General features: G+C 42.4%; 1 protein-coding gene, 1 long non-coding RNA gene and 1 pseudogene across 13 annotated transcripts in view, besides 2 other annotated features; 1 reads left to right on the forward strand and 2 right to left on the reverse strand.

Annotated features, from left to right (window-relative positions):
• Positions 1-8,500, forward strand: part of MYPN (myopalladin) — a 124,121-nt gene extending 115,621 nt beyond the window's left edge. For all 12 annotated transcript variants that reach the window (NR_045662.4, NR_045663.4, XM_047425879.1 and 9 more), the window contains 2 exons: positions 3,253-3,386; positions 6,769-8,500. Coding sequence is in view for 10 of the 12 variants with exons in the window: in XM_047425879.1 (XP_047281835.1) it covers positions 3,253-3,386; positions 6,769-6,938 (304 nt within the window). In the remaining 2 variants the exon portion in view is untranslated. The remainder of the gene's footprint in view (positions 1-3,252; positions 3,387-6,768) is intronic.
• Positions 528-20,243, reverse strand: LOC124902443 (uncharacterized). The gene is made up of 3 exons (XR_007062176.1): positions 20,210-20,243; positions 11,771-11,863; positions 528-742 (listed from the first exon to the last, which is right to left on the reverse strand). It is a non-coding gene; the product is annotated as an uncharacterized LOC124902443 (long non-coding RNA).
• Positions 9,748-9,917: an enhancer, noted in NCBI's record as "experimental_16173 CRE fragment used in MPRA reporter constructs". NCBI's record gives its function as "activates a minimal promoter by MPRAs in K562 erythroleukemia cells, with activity observed for the introgressed 10:69973107 variant allele {active_cell/tissue: K562}" and the evidence as "EXISTENCE:reporter gene assay evidence [ECO:0000049][PMID:34662402]".
• Positions 14,338-14,507: an enhancer, noted in NCBI's record as "experimental_16197 CRE fragment used in MPRA reporter constructs". NCBI's record gives its function as "activates a minimal promoter by MPRAs in K562 erythroleukemia cells, with activity observed for both the introgressed and non-introgressed 10:69977697 variant alleles {active_cell/tissue: K562}" and the evidence as "EXISTENCE:reporter gene assay evidence [ECO:0000049][PMID:34662402]".
• Positions 16,885-17,002, reverse strand: LOC124902593 (uncharacterized; annotated as a pseudogene).
• Positions 20,244-21,176: the final 933 nt, after the last annotated feature.

Here is a 21,176-nt window from a genome sequence, read left to right on the forward strand (position 1 = left end):
TTTGAAGGCTGCAGTGAGCCATGATCATGCCATTGTACTCCAGCCTGGGGACAAGCAAAACCCAGTCTCAAAAGAAAAAAAGAATAGGATATTTTGATACTTTAAACTCATAGTGATTAGCTTCTGAAAACCACACACCTAGGAACATCTGAATGGTCCTAAAACGCGCACGCACACACACACACACACACACATACACACACAGAGAGAGAGAGAGAGAGAGAGAGAGATACAGTTGCTCCTCAACTTACGATGGACTTACCTGGATGTAACCCCATCATAAATTGAGGAGCATGTGGAATGCAAGCATCCTAAGTCAGGAACTGCCTGTATATCACTGTGATTATAACTGTGTTGTAAGTGTTGTAAGTATTTATGGTTTTCATGTCCCTGCCTTCTCTCACCTATATACCTCTGCTCAGGACATTCCTTCTTTGGGAACTCTCTTCGCCTTCTTCTCTACCTCCACGCTGCAGCCCACTTCCCTAATGTCTGTTATCCCTTAATACTCACCTCAAACATCATCTTTCTAAGGAAGAGCAGTGCCCCTGCTTCCTCCCCAGCTTGGTCCAGGACTGAGTTGATGTTCTTCTACCAGCAACTGTTGCACGTAGTCACAATTGTTAGTACTAATGGTTTCATTCTCTCTCCCACGACTAGACTGTGAGCATCTTGAAGGAAGAGACCACGTCTTCTTTGTTTTCGTATGTCCTGACTCTTCACAACACCCAATGCCTTTCACCTAGTAGCATATTATGTAAGATGAAGGAATTACAAACAAATGCATGAATTTCCACGGCTATTGCCTCACCTCACTAAACTACAGCAATAGCACCCTAATGTGTCTCTCTGCGGCCAGGCTCAAGCCCTATTCAATACCCCTCCTCACCACTGTGAGAATGACCTTTTAAGAATGCAAACTGACCGGGCGCAGTGGCTTACGCCTGTAATCCCAGCACTTTGGGAGGCCAAGGCAGGTGGATCACCTTTGGTCAGGAGTTGGAGACCAGCCTGGCCAACATGGCAAAACCCTGTCTCTACTATACAAAAATTAGCCAGGCATGGTGGCATGTGCCTGTAATCCCAGCTACTTGGGAGGCTGAGGCAGGAGAATCACTTGAACCTGGGAGGCAGAGGTTGCACTGAGCTGAGATCACACCACTGCACTCCAGCCTGGGCCACAGAGTGAGACTCTGAGACTCTGTCTCAAAAAAAAAAAAAAAAAAAAGAGAATACAAACTGATTATATCAACTCCTGCTTAAAATATATCATTAGTTTCCCATAATCTGAGAGGAAGGGTCCCGTCCCTTTACCATAGTGCACGTGACCCTCTCCCCTGCCTTCTTCCTAGTCCCCCCACTTGCCAGTACCCCGTGTGCACTCCAACCCCAGCTGTAAGGAATATGCCATGATCCCTCCCACACCACCACGCCTTTGTGCAGGCTGTTCCACCACCTGGAACAGCCACATCCCACCATCCCTGTGAGTTTCCACTCGACCTTTGAGACTGAGCTGGAGCACATCTTCTGGGAAGTTTTCCCACCCTTGAATTGGCTACATTATATTTCAGTGCTTGAGAAATAGATTTTTAAAGTAATCTCGTCTTAGTCGTCTCAGGTCTTTATACAGTGTTACATTTTTCTGTGAGCCTAACCTCACATATGCTGGTGCTTCTGAACATCCAGTATCTTCATGCCTCCTTCTTGATGCCTGTGGCTTCCCAGAATAACCTTTTCCCCTCTGTCTTCCCCAGGCATCTTTCCCACGACATTACTCTAGCATTTGTTGCATTCTATTTATCTTTATTTCTACTTATTTATCTTTTATTTATTTATTTTCCATTAAACTTAGGGATCCTTCTAGAGAAGGAATTTCTTTGGCCAGGTGTGGTGGCTCACACCCGTAATCCCAGCACTTTGGGAGGCTGAGGAGGGTGGATCACCTGAGATCAGGAGTTCGAGACCAGCCTAGCTAACACAGTGAAACCCTATTTCTACCAAAAAAAAAAAAAAAGAAAAATTAGGCAGGCATGGTGGCAGGCATCTGTAATCCCAGCTACTTGGAAAGCTGAGGCACAAGAGTCTCTTGAACCTGGGAGGGGGAGGGTGCAGTGAGCCGAGATCACACCACTGCATTCCAGCCTGGGCAACAGAGCAAGACTCTGTCTCAAAAAAAAGAGAAGGAATTTTTGTCCTGTTCATCTTTACACCCTCAGCACCCAAGGCAGTAGCACCTAGCATTTTCCCCAACATAGTATTCGTAAGTGTTTACTAAAGAAATATATCAAAGAATGAATGGATTAATTAATTGACTAATCAGAAGGTGAAGGTAGCCAATGTGTTAGTGTAGTGAAATTGTGGTGGATATTTTATTACTTTATTCTTGTTATACTTGTTATTGATTGATTTATTCTTTATTCTTATTACTTTATAAATTCTTAGACATAATAACTTTCAATGAAAGGTAAACACTTATTCATCCTTTGAGCTCAGGAAGCCGTTGCTGTTGCCCCTACTGTGCAAATGAGCTGTGGCAGCCCCAGAGGAGAGCTTGGAAGTATGAGTGATAAGAGGGCCAGGCCAACAAGGGGTGTAGGGAACATGTGGCCCTATGGTTTTTGATCCATGGCTGCATATTGCAATTACTGGGGAGTTTCCAAAAATCCTAATGCTTGGATCCCAGCCTTTGATTCTGATATAATTACCTGGGATATGGCCTGGGATTCCAATATGCAGTCAAGGTGAAAAACTATGGATGTGGAGAAAAACAGAAGGAAACAGCAGGCTGATTTCCTCCTAAACCTCGTGAAGCTGGAAGCTGCACGAGCCCAGCTGGTTACATTAGGAAATGCCGTCTATGCTGCCAGTTCATCCACCCCCTGGCTCTATTTTGTCTTGCTTTCCCTGTTCATCCCAGAGCATCCTAACAAAGTTATCGATGAAATGTCCAACCTTGTTTGGAAAAGAGATCTTTCTGAACTTTGGTTGTGAAAATTGGGGGTTCTGCTGGTGGGGAGCGCAACTTCAGTGGACTTGCAGCAGTGGGGAGGGCAACAGCAGGTCTCAGCCCCAGCTGCCCCCTCCTCCTAGCATGATTAAGCTCACTGCTGCTCTTCTTTGACGTCTTCCACCTTCAAATTTGTCTTGATGTCTGCCTTAAGCTGAGTTCCCCCTTCTTCCTGGAACCCTAAATTTGACAAAGGCATTTCTGCCCCCCGATAAAATATAGGTATATTCTCTCTTTTTCTCCAGTATGCACCAGGACACAACAGGGTATGCCTGCCTTCTCATTCAGCCAGCCAAGAAATCAGACGCTGGATGGTACACGTTGTCAGCCAAGAATGAAGCCGGCATCGTGTCGTGCACTGCCAGGCTGGATATATACGGTAAGTGTAATGCTGTTAGTTGAACATCTGTATGCAACTGACAGCTTAAAAATATTTTTTTAAAGATAAATGGGTCAGGCAAGGTGGCTCATGCCTGTAATCCCAGCACTTTGGGAGGCCGAGGCAGGCAGATCACCTGAGGTCAGGAGTTCAAGACCAGCCTGGTCAACGTGATGAAACTCCACCTCTACTAAAAATACAAAAATTAGCCAGGCATGGTGGCACACACCTGTAATCCCAGCTACTCGGGCAGCTGAGGCAGAAGAATTGGTTGAACCCAGGAGGCAGAGGTTGCAGTGACCCGAGATTGCACCACTGCACTCCAGCCTGGGCAACAGAACAAGACTCTGCCTCAAAATAAATAAATAAATAAATATAGATGGAATATGTTTCCATAAATGAATCGGGTAGACTATACTATATTTTAGTGCTTAAGAGATAGATTTTAAAAGTCATCTCATCCTGGTTACCTCAGGGCGTTTGTACACTTTTACATTTTACTATGAGCTTCACCTTCTTCCAGAACAGTGCCTCTAATACCAGGAATTACAGCTAGTCCAGAGTTTGCAAGTGCTTGTGCCTCTGAACAGCCAATGTTTTCTTGCCATCTCCTTGCTGCCGCGGGCCACCCACTGGAACTTCCCACTGCCTGTGATGCCCCGGCAGAATTTTTGAAACTCCTTTCATTTATTCCTTTAACAAATGTGTGTTGCTCCAATCCCCCAGACTTCTCTAATAATAGAGAGCTGTCCTAATAATAATAATAATATCAAGTGACATTTGTAGGATGACACATAGGCTCCCCTCTCTCGTCCAAAGGCGGGATTCAAAGTGATACCTTTAAATCTCCCAGACCCATGAGATTATTATAATTGTAGTTACCTTCATTTAACGCTGAAAATTACATGAGAGTAACAACATTGTACAGGCTGTCCCACCACCTGGAACAGCCCACCCCACCCTCCCTGTGAGTTTCCACTCAACCTTTTAGACTGAGCTGGAGCACGTCTTCTGGAAAGCTCCCCCACACTTAAATTGACTGTGCTATATATTTAGTGGAAGACTTGGAGAGGTTAATGACTACAGCTAGGAAGCAAATCTAGGCCTTTGCATTGTTTCTTTGAACCACATTTCCAATTTTCAAAAGGATCTAAGAAATAAATTTTTATTTATGTATTTGTGTGCTCAATCCTACACTTTTTGACATTAACTGGTATTTTTAGAGACATATTTCTTAACCCAAAAGAGTGGTTTTTTTAATCCTTTTTGAAAAAACATAATTGATTAGAAAATCTCACATTCAAAACTGGCTTAACCTAATTAGCCAAAATAATAAATAAGACTAGCTCTGTCTATTACCTGATAGATCTCTCTGCTATTTATGGTTGCATAGCAGGTATTCCCTTTATTTAGTACCATACAGGAGGGGCTTCAGCCTGCCATTTTCTCTAGGTCTAGTTTTTGGAGAAAATATATAATTTTCTGGTTATTTTCCCTTATCCTAGGACTTGAGAAGAGATTAAACTGTGAAGGAAGCAGACACTAATGTACTTTTCCCTGGAGAAATCGGGGGAGAAAGAGGCCAGTAGTGATATGTTCCTTAATCAAGGCTCAGTCCTTAACCATTTCCCAGTCTTCACCAAGTCAGAAGGCAGTAGGTCTCCAACTGAGAAACTCCCCACCAATAAGCCCTGAAACAGATGACTCTTGTGCCAATCCTGCCCTCCAGTGGCTGAGTTTCCAGGTCACTTTGCCCTGGCTCTCCTCTCCCTTTCGTTCCTGTCCTGCTTCCATAGCACCAACAATAGGCAGTGCTGTTTCCTCAGTTGGGACCTAGGATGGAGGACGCGTGGAGGACTTGGGCTGGAATCGATTCCCTTCCCCGCCACCACACTTCCTGCCTTTCTGAGGAATAGGGACACGTAGGGCTCCCCTCTCTTCTCTCACTTCCTAATCCTAGGAAATGCAGTAGTCCAGTTAAGATGTCAGAGAGAGCCGGGAAGGGCTAAGAGATGGAGGGGCTGGGAGGAGAGACTGCGCAAGAGCAGGCCTTACTGAGTGTCTGCTCTTTAGTGAAACCGCTCTAGGTTTGGTCCTCCAAATTTTGATTTTTCTGAATTCACTCAGAGGTATGTAGACTGGAAAACTGAATCAAGATGATGAAATCAACAAAGGACCAATTTCTAAATCAGAATGCTAGAAAGGGGCACAGCTTTCCAGGACCCAGAGCACGAGAGTTCCCCACCTAGGGAACGCCCTTCTGCACACCAAGGTCCCCAGAAACCTAATCAGAAGATTGCCCAGTAATTTCTGAATCAGAAACCACAGCAGAGACTGTGAAGTTTGGACAGATAGCTCGCTCAGGCCATGTTCAAACCTTAAAGTCATATCTGCTAAAAACAGCAGCACTTGGTGAACATAGAAACTCTAATAAATTATCTTTTGTCCCTGAACCATGGTTGATTGTATCTAAATTACTTTTCAGTCTTCTTGCTGTAACAATAGAACCTGATTAGGGAGGTGGGTAGGTAGGTAATGACTGATTAGGGTGATTAGGGTGTGAGGTAGGCACTGCTCAGAGGGGCAAACCCATTGTTTGGCTTTCATTTCTGCAGCTTTCTTGTCTCTATCTTTTGAGGTACCCTCTTTGAGAGCCTACAACCCTCTGTACACTGCCCCTAACAGGTCTTCATGGTAGGACGCTGGAAGGGGATAAGCTTGAGAAATCACCCTCGTCACCCACTCTTCCATCTTATAGAATTCTTTTCTTTTTTTTTTTTTTTTTGTTTGTTTTTTTCTTTTTTTGAGATGGAGTCTCGCTCTGTCGCCCAGGTGAAGTGGCATGCCTTGGTGTGATCTTGGCTCACTGCAACCTCTGCCTCCTGGGTTCAAGTGATTCTCGTGCCTCAGCATCCTGAGTAGCTGGGATTACAGGTGTATGCCACCATGCTCAGCTAATTTTTGTATTTAGTAGAAACTGGGTTTCGCCATGTTGGCCAGCCTGGTCTTGAACTCCTGAGCTCAAGTGATGTGCCCTTTTCAGCCTCCCAAAGTGCTGGGATTACAGGCATAAGCCACCGTGCCTGGCCGCATCTTAGAGGAATTCTAATCTCTCACTTGTAGGATTCTAATCTCTTACTGAATTAGAATCACAGATTTTGGAATTAGGGGCTTAAGATATCACCAGCACAGTTTCCTTATTCCTGGCAGGGAAGGCTTTATTGTTCTCTTCTACAAACGAGGCAATTCAGACCCAGGTATAGTTATATGCTTTACCAAGAATGCTCAGGGAGAATCGGGGTGAGGACAGAATGCACCTCTGCAGCGTACATGCTGGACTGCATTCCTTTGATCATAACACATTATTTGGTCCATTTTCCAGCTCAGTGGCACCATCAGATCCCACCGCCCATGTCTGTCCGGCCCAGTGGCAGTCGCTACGGATCTCTCACCAGTAAAGGACTTGACATATTTTCTGCCTTTTCCTCCATGGAAAGCACGATGGTGTATTCATGCTCTTCTCGGAGTGTAGTGGAGAGTGATGAACTTTAAGAATGTCTAGGTACCTGCTGTGTAAGAGAGCGGACTGTGGAGGGGGAATGAGAACAAGCCAGACTTGGTGGTTTCCAAGCAACCGAAGTTGAGTAAGTTCCCACACTGCTGGACCTGTGGCAAAGAGTGCTTTGAATAAGTCAGCTAGGGATTCTTGCAGTCTCAGCTGAGGGAGAAAGGTAGGGCTGTGCCTTCTAAAGATTCCAACAGAGATGTGAGAAGATAATACAGATGAACCAAAGATGTCACACAGTTGCCATCCACTGCTTTGGGAAAAAACTAGCATGCTCCCCTGCTCCCTGTTGTGTTAGGGATGTTTAGGTCATACTAGGAGCAATTAGGAGCCATATGCCTGGGCTGAGAAGAGCTAGGCAGTAGTGACCTTAGGATATGACTAACTCACCAAACAATGCCAAGGAGAAAGGCGGACAGGTCACCATCACCTTTCATCGATTACATGTATAGCAGTAGTTTTGGTGAATTCACCAAATCAGCTTCCACTTAGCATTAGGAGGTCATGCCATACAACTCACGTATGCGGGCAAACACTTTTGATTTGCATATCCTGGGTGTACTGAGCCACATAATAAGGTGTCAAAATGTGCTTGAGATTCCAAAAACTTGCTGAAACACTTGATATTGCACAGTGCACTTATTTTGTGGCCAAAGCATGGCCTTACCAGCTTGTCTGCACTATTTTCTTTTGGGTGGTGACTGTTTTTTTCTGACTTTGCATATCCCTAGACACTAGAACTAAAGGATTGGTAATAAACCAATCAGAAAGAAATCCTCTGTGGGGTCACTTTAAAAACTACTAGCTTCAACTACCACTTACAAAATGTGCAAGAGTCATCATTTGCCCATAAAATACACCTCATGGGCTCCTACCCCTTTCCCCAAAAGTCTGAAAGTGTAGGAGGAAGGAAGAGATACAAACAAGGAGAGGAAATGATGGGAGAGTGTTGTTTTTGTCACTTGCCCCAGCAGAGCAGGGGTTTTGGAAGGAGAGGTCTTTAATAGCTTTGAAATGCTTTGAGATCATTGGTCAAATTGCATTTTCTATGTAGAGAATATTCTGCTAGGTGGAAAAGTTGGGAGAAAGGGGAATATGCATCTTTATTCTAATCACCAATTCAAACCCTGCCTCTTAAGGAATTTTTAGACTTAAGTTCACTGTGATATCCCTAGTACCTAGAAGAGTACCTAGCACAAAGTAGACATTCAATAAATATTTGCTGGTTGAATGAATCTTCTGTTATTATGTCTATTATAAGATAACCTAATCTTATATTCTGCAGGAATATGCCACCCACACACCAGTCCAAACACTGCCCTGGGAATGCTCATCACAGCACAGTTTGCTCTAGGCTGTGCAGGGAAATGAATTGCAGGTGTCTGTTTTCAATTCCCTGTGCTGGAATCCCTGGTGCTGTCTGTGCCAAGCACACTCAGCTGGCATTGTATTTGTGTGAACAGACAGTAACTGCTTAGAAAGGCTTGAAACTGTCTTCACTTCAAGGCAAGGATTTCCAGCATAAAAATAAATTCATTCACTGGAGAAATCATTTGTATGTCTACTCTGTATGAGATGCTGTGCTAGAGATACTGCGGCAGATATAAAGATATGAACAAGTCACAGTCCCTACCCTCAGGGAGCTCACAACCTATTAGGGAAGGTAATATTTGAGGTGTGCAGAATGCTGTCTCTTGAAGCAAAATAGAAGTTTCTAGTGCTCTTCATTCTATTTTTTTATAACTTTAAAAATCTTTTCAATCTTTATTTCTTAATGAAACAAAATGCCATAGGTTACATCCTCAAGCAATAACTATTTCAATTATTCAGCAGAATTATTAGATTCTGTTTTTTAATGTATTCAGTAACAGCAGTAAAATACAGGCATCCTTAATGGAATAGAATGCATTTCATATGGAATCCAGTGAAATATTGTTTCCATATTGACTTCTGAGATCTCTTATAAACAAAGAGCACTTTTTTCTTTCTTTCTTTCTTTCTTTTTTTTAATGGAGTCTCACTGTCACCCAGGCTTCAGTGCAGTGCCACGATCTTGGCTCACTGCAAACTCCGCCTCCCAGGTTCCAGCGATTCTCCTGCCTCAGCCTCCCAAGTAGCTGGGATTACAGGCACACACCACCAGGCCCGGCTAATTTTTGTATTTTTTGTAGAGACAGGGTTTCGCCGTGTTGGCCAGGCTGGTCTCGAACTCCTGACCTCAAGTGATCCACCCACCTCGGCCTCCCAAAGTGCTGGGATTACAGGCATAAACCACCGTGCCCAGCTTAAAGAGCACTTTCTAACTCCAGGACTGCTCCTAGATTGTACACCAGACCTCCCCATCACAGCTACTTCTGTAAACCCTAGATAGTTCTCCCATGAAAGGATGTTCTTCATCTCTGTGTTTTAGCTTTCTGAACAGAAAACTAAGATAAATATTACATTTGGCAACTAGGTGGCGTTGTCTCACCCCAGACATTAACAGGCCTAAAAATTACTGAAATTTGAGCTATTAGATTATGTTAAAGCGGGGTTTCCCAACCTCAATACTACCGACACTTTGGACTGGATAATTCTCTGTTATGGAGGACTGTCCTGTGCATTGTAGAATGTTTAGCAACATCCCTGGCCTCTATCCACTAGTTGTTCTTCCCCAAGTTGTGGCAGCCCAAAATGTCTTCAGACATGGCCGTATGTTCCCTGAAAGGCAGAATCCCCCTTTGTTGAGAACCACTGTGTCAAACAAATCAAGGCCCTGCTTTAAGAATTCCATTAGAACTCAACCGAGCACAATGACTGTAATCCTGGCACTTTGGGAGGCTGAGGCAGGAGGATCGCTTGAGCCCAAGAGTTCGAGGCCAGCTTAGGCAACATAGTGAGATGCTATCCCTACAAAATATTGACTTCAAAAAAGAATCCAATTAGAATTCAATTACAATGAGGAATATTTGAATAAAAATTTTAGTTCCATTGGATGTTTGTTTTCAACATATCCAAAATCAGATTCATCTTCCCTTTATAATCCATTCCTCAATCTAGTTTAATGATTTCTGTTATTGGCACCATCAACGTTCCTCATAATTCTAATAAGAAACATCCAAGTCAGTTTTTGCTTCCTCTACCCTATCAATGGACAAGTCCTGCTGATTCTACTTCTATCATTCTTCTTATAGTCAGGAGTTTCTTCCTTTCCCCTGCAGTGCTCCAGTTCAGACTTCCATTACTTCCTTCACTTGCCCTCAATAATACTTCTTTTTTTTTTTTTTTTTTTTTGTGAGATGGAGTCTTGCTCTGTCACCCAGCCTGGAGTGCAGTGGTACAGTCTTGGCTCGCTGCAACCTCTGCCTCCCAGGTTCAAGCGATTCTCCTACCTCAGCCTCCCAAGTAGCTTGGAATACAGACGTGAGCCATCATGCCCAACTAATTCTTGTATTTTTAGTAGAGATGGGGTTTCACCATGTTGGCCAAGCTGGTCTTGAATTCCTGACCACAAGTGATCTGCCCGTCTTGGCCTCCCGAAGTGCTGGGATTACAGGCATGAGCCACCAGGTCCGGCCACTTCACCTCAATACTACTGACTTCAACCATAACATACTCCTTCTGGTCTTCCTGCCTCTAGTCCTGCCATTTCTTCCTACTCAAACCTAGCCCAGATCTCAGCAGCGGATCATTCTTTGCAAAATACTGCTCCAGTTATATTAATATTATTTCCAAGTGTTCAAACCCCTAATGGCTACCTGGAGCCAATTCAGGTACCAGCTGACCTGCCCTGTGCTACCTAATATGATCCCAAAGCTTTTCATCCATTACTCAGAAAATGTGCCCAACACAGCAGCAAACCTCACACAGGCCCCTGCTTTTCAGCCACATGCCTTTCTTCTGCCTCTGCCTGGAAGGCTCTCCTCAGTCTCCACCTACGGAAGTCTTATCAGTTCCTTCAAGTCCATCTCAAATGCCATTACCTCTGATATATTTTAGGATCTCCCACACTCCAACCAAATATAATTCTACTTTCTTTGAAGCCTTATACCAAGTTCCTTGAGTCTGGAGGAAGAAAAGATTACTTTCTACGTGTTTTTTTGTTTGTTTGTTTTTGAGACAGAGTCTCACTCTGTTGCCCAGGCTGGCTTGCAGTGGTGTGATCTCGTTCATTGCAACCTCTGCCTCCTAGGGTTCAAGCAATTCTCGTGCCTCAGCCTCCCGAGGTAGCTGGGATTACAGGCACCCCCCACCATGCCCAGCTAATTTTTATAATTTTAGTAGAGACGGGGTTTCACCATGTTGGCCAAGCTGGTCTCGAACTCCTAACCTCAAGAAATCCACCAGCCTCAGCCTCCCAAAGTGCTGGGATTACAGGTGTGAGCCACTGCACCCGGCCTCTACAGTGCTTTGTACAGAACACAGCCTCTGTGTACCTGCCTGCCCTCCCTCTTACACTAGCCCACTCTTGCTTGCATTAGGTTTTGGCTATTTGTTGGTACGGACTGTGTCAGGAGTTTTTTTTCATGCCTTATATAGAGTAGTCACTCAATAAATATTTATCAACCTAAATGGAATTTTAAATTGTATACAAGTAGGTTTATTTCTATATAAAGTGTATTCAGTCTAAGCAGCGATTGTTAACCTTGCCTGCACATTAAAAGCTCCTGGGGAGCTTTTAAAAAATCTCAACACCCAGGCCATTTCTCAAATCAACTGAATCAGTAGCCCTGGGGTTGTGACACAGGCATCAGTATTTTTTAAAGCTTCCCAGGTGATTCCGATGAGCGACTAAGGTTGAGAAGAATCATTTTATTACCATGATTATCGTAGAACTTACCCGTAAAGGTCTGAAGGGATGCAGATGGCACAAAGCTGTAGTGCTGGAATCCATGAGGAAGGTACTGCCCCTGGTTACGCGTGCAGTATGTGCCTGGAAAATAGAAATAAGCACACACGTTGGCTTTATTAGACCCTACTATTTTGTGCTACATTTGTTAGACATGCAGCATTCATGAAGCCCCCAAAGGAAGCTCAGAAACCTGCAAAAAATGGATCAAGGAAAGAAGGAAAGTTGATGCAATTTGCCTCGCCATTTATTTCAAAAATGTGTGCAGATTCCATAAGCACCCTTCTCTCCAAGCAACTGAAGGGCTTTTCATAACTTAATTAGTCATGGCATTGGGGATCAGAGGGAAAATGGAGAAAGAAAATGCACCGTTTAAACCAAAACTGCCTTGTTGAGATAGATCACTCTTCACCAAACTAAGGGATTATGCAGAATTTCCAAATAGCAGAAGTGGTTTAAATGCATCCTTCTCTTTTTATTCATCACTTAACTTTTGTAGGCATTCAATAAGAAAACATGGTCAATAGACAAGCAGCAAGTAGACTTAGGGCCCTGAGGAACACGTACAAGGAAGAATCATTCCCAGAGGAGTCAAAAGATGACTTTGGTAAGGGCAGTTTCACCTGGATAATCCTCACATGATAAATGGGTTGTGCTCCACATATTCATTTGTAAAGTGGTTGTTTAAAACTGAGACTATATTTCCTTACACACATATCACCCAACGCTGGATTCCCAAGTGAATCCAGAAAAGCCCGTCTAATTCATGACTGATTACAGCACAGAAATACCTCCCTTTACTGCTTCTCACTTCACTGTACTTCACAGATACTGCAGTTTTTACGAATTGAAAGTCGGTGGCAACCCTGTGAGAACGTGTGCTCTCACTGCCTGTTTCTGTGTCGCATTTTGGTAATTCTGGCAACAATTCAAAATTTCAACATTATGATACAGTTATGGTGATCTGTGATCAGGGGTCTTCGATGTTGCTATTGTAATTGCTTTGGGGCACCATGAACTGCACCCATAGAAGGCGGCAAATTCAATCGCTACATGTTGTGCGTGTTCTGACAGCTCTACCAACCGGCTGTTCCCACATCTCTCTCCCTCTCCTTGGGCCTCTCTAGTCCCTGAGACTCAGCAATATTGAAATTAGGACAATTCATAACCCTACATTGGCCTCTAACTGTTCAAGTGAAAGAAAGAGTAGTACATCTCTCACTTTAAATCAAAAGCTAGAAATGATTGAGCTTTGAGAGGAAGACATGTCAAAAGCTGAGCTAGGCCACAAGCTAGGTCTCTTGTGCCTGTTAACCAAGTTGTGAATGCAAAGGAAAAGTTCTTGAAGGAAATAAGTGCTACTCCAGTGAACACATAAATGATAAGAAAGCAAAACAGCCTTATTGCTGATATGGAGAAAGTCTGAGTGGTCTGGATAGAAGATCAAATCAGTCACAACATTCGCATAAGCCAAAGCCTAGTCAGAGCAAGGTCATAATTCTCTTCAATTCTGTGAAGGCTGAGCTAGGTGAGAGAGCTGCAGAAGAAAAGCTGAAAGTAAGGCTGGGCACGGTGGCTCACGCCTGTAATCCCAGCACTTTGGGAGGCTGAGGCGGGTGGATCACGAGGTCAGGAGATCAAGACCATCCTGGCTAACACGGTGAAACCGCATCTCTACTAAAAATACAAAAAATTAGCCAGGCGTGGTGGCGGGTACCTGTAGTCCCAGCTACTCGGGAGGCTGAGCCAGGAGAATGGCGTGAACCTGGGAGGCGGAGCTTGCAGTGAACCAAGATCCTGCCACTGCACTCCAGCCTGGGTGACAGAGCGAGACTCCGTCTAAAAAAAAAAAGAAAAGCTGGAAGCTAGCAGAGGTGGGTTCATGAGGTTTAATGAAAGAAGCCATCTCCATAATCTTAAAGTGCAAGGTGAAGCAGCAAGTGCTGATGTAGAAGCTGCAAGTTATCCAGAAGATCTAGCTAAGATCATTGATGAAGGTGGCTACACTAAACAACAGATTTTCAATGTAGATGAAACAGCCTTGTATTGAAAGAAGATGCCATCTGCGACTTTCCTAGTTAGAAAGGACAAGTCAATGCCTGGCTTCTAAGCTTCAAAGGACAGGCCGACTCTCTCATTAGGGGCTAATGCCGCTGGTGACTTTAAGTTGAAACCAATGCTCATTTACCATTCTGAAAATCCTAGGGCCCTTAAGAATTGTGCTAAATCTACTTTGCCTGTGTTCTATAAATGGAACAACAAAGCCTGGTTGACAGCACATCCGCTTACAGTGTGATTGACTGAATATTGTAAGCCCACCATTGAGACTCAGAAAAAAAGTTTCCTTTGAAAATATTACTGCTCGTTGACAATGCAGCTGGTCACCCAAGAGCTCTGATAGACACATACAAGAAGATTAATGTTGCTTTCATGCCTGCTAATACAACATCCGTTCTTGATCCAGCCCATGGATCAAGGAGTCATTTCAACTCCCAAGTTTTATTATTTAAGAAACACATTTCTTAAGGCCATAGTTGCCATAGACAGTGATTCCTCAGATGGATCTGCGCAAAGTAAATTGAAAAGCTTCTGGAAAGGATTTACCATTCTAGATGCCATTAAGAACATTCATGACTCATGGAAGGTCAAAATATCAACATGAACAGGAGTTCGGAAGAATTCGATTCCAACCCTCATGGATGACCAAGAGGTTCAAGACTTGAATGGAACACGTCACTGCAGATGTGATGGAAATAGCAAGAGAACTAGAATTAGAAGTGGAGCCTGAAGATGGGGCTGAATTGCTGCCATCTCATGATCAAACTTTAGCAGATCAGAAGTTGCTTCTTATGGCTGAGCAAAGAAAGTGGTTTCTTGAAATGGAAACTACTCCTGGTGGAGATGCTATGAACATTGTTGAAATAACAATAAACAATTTAGAGTATAACATAAACTTTGTTGATAAAGGAGCAGCAGGATTTGAGAGGATTGATTCTAATTTTGAAAGAAGTTCTACTGCGGGTAAAGTACTATTAAACAGCATTGCATGCTGCAGAGAAATCATTATGAAAGAAAAAGTCAATCAATGCAGCAAACTTCGCTGTTATTTTAGGAAATTGGCACAGCCACTGTAACATTCAGCAACCACCACCCTGATCAGTCAGCAGTCATCAACATCAAGACAAGACCCTCTGACAGCAAAAAGATTATGAGTCTGTGAAGGCTCAGATTATTGTTAGCATTTTTTTTTAGGAGTAAAGTTTTTTTTGGTTTGTTGTTGTTGTTCTTGTTGTTGTTACAGGGTCTGGCTCTGTCGCCCAGGTTGGAGTGCCGTGGTGTCATCTCTGCTCACTGCAACCTCTGCCTCCCAGGCTCAAGCCATCCTCCCACCTCAGCCTCTCAAGTAGCTGGGACTACAGGCACTCACCACAGTACCTTGCTAATTTTTTTAAGTTTTTGTAGAGCCAGCGTCTCACTGTGTTGCCCAGGGCTGGTCTCAAACTCCTGGGCTCAAGCGATCCGCCCACTTGGGCCTCTCAGAGTGCTGGGAATACAGGTGTGAGCCACAGTGCCCTGTCAAAGTATTCTTTAATTAGGGTATGTACATTGTTTTTTAGACACAGTGCTATTGCACACTTAATAGACTACAGTATAAACATAACTTTTATATGCACTGTGAAAGCAATAAAATTATGTGACTTGCTTTATTGTCTGGAACAGAGCTCTCAGTATCTCCGAGGCATACCTGTACCTATTACACTAGATTGGGTTATGGCCTCAAGAACAGGGAACCAGACAAAGCAGTGAATAAGAGAAAAAAGACTACTTCCTCCTCCTTTTCGGTGCCTATGATGTGTCAAAGCTAGAGTGTCTATGATCCTTTCTGCATCTAGCCTTCATTCTTTGTTTTTCTTCCCAGGTGCCCTGTGCCCCATGTTCTATAATCTCACTGCTCTAACTTGTCCCATCTCATCCCTTCCCCAAGGCCTGCCAGGGTGCTTCACGCTCCACAATGACCTAACTCCAGTTCCATACATCTTGGCTTGGTATCCAGAAGAAACCAGTCCAGTTGAACAAATTCTAAATGCCCGAGAGTCTTTTAACTTCACAGAGGTGCTGAATTTTTAAAACCAATTGCTTTCTCCCTCCCATCAACTTCTATTTAATAAAATTGCTGAGAGAGTTTTTAAAAAAAAAATCAAACTGTGAGGGGAAATAGAGGGAACTGACTCAGACACCCGAACTGTTCCTGCCAATCACAGCCTCTTCCTTTCTTCCTTCTCCTCCATGTGCTCCCAAAGTACCTTCCAAGCCGGGACCTTGAGTTTATGTGCATATGGGCTATTAATAAATCGATTGTAAACTCAAAACTGCCAGGGAAACCATAAATGTAGGCAAATTTACTCATAATAGCCTTTATTCAGGGTCCCTTCCAGGGTCCTTGGGTAACTTGCATTAAAAATATTTCCACTAATGGTTGAGTTGAAAGTCAACATGCCTTACCGGTAAATGAACAGTTACTTAGACTTCAATAGAGTCAAAGTCCTTTTAATCACTAATAGCTTTTTCTTGTTTTAAGTGTATCAATATTCCAGAAAGTTCATTACTGAAGCATTGTTTGAAGAATGCCAAGCATCTTCTAAACTTTGACAATGCAGTGGTCATCAGTATGCTAAAAAGTTGCTAATATCATGTTTTTAAAAATCTGTGCAGTGCAAAAAATTGCATATTTGCTAAAAATATGTTTGCCTCTTATTTCTAATTACATTAGTTAGCATACTTGGTATTATAGAACCATAAACAAGCTGCCTTTGGTTAATATGTACATAATAGCCACTTCAAATTCCAAAGAGAAATAGCCTTGAACTTGCAAAAAATAAAGAAAGAGCATACTTTTCAATCCTCTGAGAATTGTGCCATAAATGCTGAGAGTATTGAAAATGGCTGCACTGCTATAAACATTAATTTGCTAGAAGATTTTAACATATAAGTGAATAGAAACTGTTTCTCTAATAATAAAAAGTAAAATATTTCAACATTATTTGACAATAGTATTTTAAGGCTGAAATAAATGTACATTTTTCTTTAAAATGTAGAAAGTAGTTATAGTTTCCAGGTTTAAAGATTACTTTTTGATAATGAATGAACCAATTTTTTTTTATTTCTTAGAACTGATAAGAGCAGATACTACACTTGGTCTTAGCTAAAAGGCCAAGAAGCAATTGGACCAATTCTTCTTTCTTTCTTTCTTTCTTTCTTTTTTTTTTTTTTTGAGATGGCGTCTCACTGTATTGCCCGGGCTGGAGTGCAGTGGTGTGATCTCGGCTCACTGCAGACTCCACCTCCAGGGTTCAAGCGATTCTCCTGCCTCAGCCTCCCGAATTTTTAAATGTACAAATATATTTGATTTTTTTTTTTTTTTGAGACAGCGTCTCGCTGTATTGCCCAGGCTGGAGTGCAGTGGCGCAATCTCGACTTATTGCAACCTCTGCCTCCCGGGTTCAAGCGATTCTCGTGCCTCAGCCTCCCAAGTAGCTGGGATTACAGGCATGTGCCACCACACCTGGCTAATTTTTTTTGTATTTTTGGTAGAGATGGGGTTTTGCCAGGTTGGCCACGCTGGTCTCCAACTACTGACCTCAGGTGATCCACCCACCTTGGCCTCCCAAAGTTCTGGGATTACAGGTGTGAGCCACTGCCCTGGGCCTTATTTGACATTTAAAAGTAATTTTATAAACGATTCTTATTTATATTGTATAAATTACTACATGTATTACAACCTGGTTAAAATATCTCTGGAGCAACAGAAAGATAACTGGATTTTGGTTTTCATTCTTAAACGCTTCTTAACTGAAAACAAATACACATTAAAAAATGGGATTTAAAGATGGGCAAGCACAGTTTGGACTGGAAATTCATGGAGATATGAATATAATCTTGTTACAATAAGAGGTGTTTTTATACTCACAAGAAACATAAATTATTTGTATATAGCTAGCATGGTAAAAGTAATTGCTCAATATTCCAAAACTCCAAAAACTCCAATGTTTCTACACAGATTCAATGAGTTATCAGCAAACAAGAGATAGATTCCTGTACTTTCCACATGATTACTGTTGTAAGAATCCAGTGAATGTATACTAGTATTGACTATAGTTGTCACTGCCAAAAGATGACTAAATATGTATACAGTATAAAAGTTTTACTGCATGTTTTAAGGGCAGTAAAAATCCTAAAATAATTCAAATGAGAAAATTTTAATGCAACTATATTTTAACACAGTATTGGTAAAAAATGTTTCCAGTATTTTGATTTCAGAGACACCTTATCCTCTTTTATGATTTTCACTTAGTTTTTGCAATCATTAGCATTAAATTTATTGACCTAATCTTCTCTTTTCATTATCTCCCTGTCCAGATAAAAATTTTTAGAATATTTAATAGCATTAGGAAAGCTTCCTAGTTTGTAAATTCTTAGGTGAATTCTAAGGAGGATTTTAGTCATTCAAATGAGTTTAGATAGATTCTCTAATATTTTCATAACTCTGGGATCTCTGTCTCTTTATTTGTAAAATAAGCAAAGTAGTGAGGTTTGCTGAGGATGGAGGGTAGGATAAATGCATAAATAAATATTTATGAAGCGTTTAGACAACCCCCCCCCCAAAAGAGTGGTAGCAGTTTTTTAAATATATATTTTTAAAAATGTCTTTAATGTTTAAAATATTTTTCTCCAAAGTAAATAGTTAACTTGTTTAAAAAGTTCACATTACTGGCCAGGCGCGGCAGCTCACGCCTGCAATCCCAGCACTTTAGGAGGCCGAGGCAGGCAGATCATGAGGTCAAGAAATCGAGACCATCCTGGCCAACATGGCGAAACCCCATCTCCACTAAAAATACAAAAATTAGCCAGGTGTGGTGGCGTGCGCCTGTAGTCCCAGCTACTTGGGAGGCTGGAGCAGGAGAATCGCTTGACCCTGGAGGCGGAGGTTGCAGTGACCCGAGATCCCACCACTGCACTCCAGCCTGGGCGACAGAGTGAGACTCCGTCTCAAAAAAAAAAAAAAAGTTCACATTTCTTTCCTGCCCACTACTTTGTCCTTCCTTAGAAGGGTAGTACACAATGATGGGATTTTGTCTTCCAAGATGGCATGCAGCAAAGAAATAAATGGACAAACCTAAAGAAAAATCAAATGGATTTTCAAGAAATATCCTGTCTGCTTTCTGTAGGGAGATTCCAGGGAAATTCACTTCAGTGTAGGCAGAATAGCCTAGGGGAATTTTGACTTCTGTGTCTATGATTGAAGGTAGTGGAAATGATGACTCCACCGTGCAGAGAAATAGCAAGGGAGTTTCTGTATTCCTTTCTGGCATAAGTAGTTCAGGACAATTCCACAGTACTGTCCCAAACCCTAATGAAGAAACATCCCATGCCAGCATCTCAGTGGCCTTACATTGAATAAATCAGCTTTAGAATACCTGGTATACGTGGACCCTCAAAAATAAGCATATCCTTTGGTCTCTGTTTTTGCATTCTCAGCTACATCACGTCTGAACTTAATCCTGTTGATTCACATGAAGACTGACAAATGATGTACACCCACACACACACAAACACACACACACTTCAAGTAAGGAGTCGTGGAGCACCCACAGCTGACTTAATTCAATCCAAATCAAGTGACACCTTGTAACGCTTTTTCTCCCTCTCCATGCATAAGTTCTTCCCACTTGAAAACACACCAGGCCCCAGAAGTCCCGCAAACATGGTATGCTTCCATCTCAGGAAGCTGGAGTCAACTTATTTTCTAGAGTACTTTTTTTGGTTATTGAAATCTTAATGCAAAAGCCATTATAGTGACTATTTTGAAATGCGTGCATTGCATAAACTGTATATTTCACCTCTATTACTAGAAAGCAATTAACAGATCTTGGCTTTTATCCATGTTCCTCCACATCATGCATGTGAAGACCTTCTGTGGAACTGAAAACCAGTGATCATTTAAGCCAAAATGTCTGCGAGCATAAATCACGTCCTTCCTCAGAAGGCACATGGTATTGTATTCTGGTAGAACACGTCATCTACATGACACCCGTTGCTGTTCCCTAGTCCTGCTTTCTTAAGGATTTGTTGGGATTGTGTTTTGTTTGGAAATTTTGCAATTAGAAGAATAAAAATTAAATTTATGAATCAGAATTTAATATAAGCTGCATGTTTTTAAAGGCAATTTAGAGGATGTGATGGACTGTTTCTTTATTTATTAAATAAAGTTTTATTTATTCTCAACTGATTGTTGGGTTGGTTTTGCTTTTTTTTTTTTTTTTTTTTGTCCCACTCTTAGTATTCTGTGTTCTGTTACGTGATGGTCACTCAGGTGTGCCCATGAGAGGAGTCATAGGAAAGGCTCAAGAAAACAAACTTTATTGTACTCACAGATCCTAGAAACAGGAGGCATGTCACACCATGCAGGGCCACACGGGGAAGCACCAGCTTCAGTCAGGAGGCAGAAGGGGCTGGAGCAAGGTAAGAGCCTAGGCCACGGCCCTTATTGTAGTTCCTGTGAGGAAGGCAAGGCAGGGCAGGATTGGCTTGTTTAAATAATTTGGAAAGGCTCTAAGGAGAAGTCCCTAGCTACCTGGTATCTGGCCCTGAGATAATTAAGGCAGGTGAATATTACTTCCTGGTGTGTACAGGCCAGATCTCTGGATTGGTTAGTCTGCATACCAAAGGCAAGCTTTCCTTTGAGCCCTTTGCTATCCTTAAAAATTGGCCAGCCTTAAGAGGGGCAGTCTCTCCCCACCCAGAAAAGTTTTTTGTTGTTGTTCTGTTTTGTTTTAAGAAACAGTCTCATTCTTTTACCCAGGCTGGAGTGCAGTGGTACTCATAACCTCAAACTCCCGGGCTCAAGCAATCCTCCCACTTCAGCCTCCCAAGTAGCTAGGATTACAGGCGCACACCACCACACCCAGCTAACTTTTAAAATTTTTTGTAAAGACAGGGTCTCACTATGTTGCCCAGAGTGGTCTCAAATCCCAGGCTCAAGTGATCCTCCTGTCTGAGCCTCCCAAAGTTCTGGGATTACAGGAAGGAGCAACCACACCCAGCCCAGAAAGTTTTTTTAAATGTTAAAACAGCATAATATACAGAACATTTTAAAACTAAACAATATACTTAGTATATGAGATGGGTAAATTCTTGTTTTCCAGAACAGTAATTTGCTGCATAACAAGGTTTTAGTCAATCACTTATATGACAGTGGTCTCTTAAGCTTAAAACAGAGTTGAAAAATTCCTATCACCTAGTGACTTTGTAGGTAACTGATACGGTTTGGCTCTGTGTCCCCTCCCAAATCTCACTTTGAATTGTAATCCCCATAATCCCCACGTTCTAGGGCGGGACC

Source organism: Homo sapiens, chromosome 10 (assembly GCF_000001405.40).
Source record: "Homo sapiens chromosome 10, GRCh38.p14 Primary Assembly".
NCBI classification, from domain to species: Eukaryota; Metazoa; Chordata; class Mammalia; order Primates; family Hominidae; genus Homo; species Homo sapiens.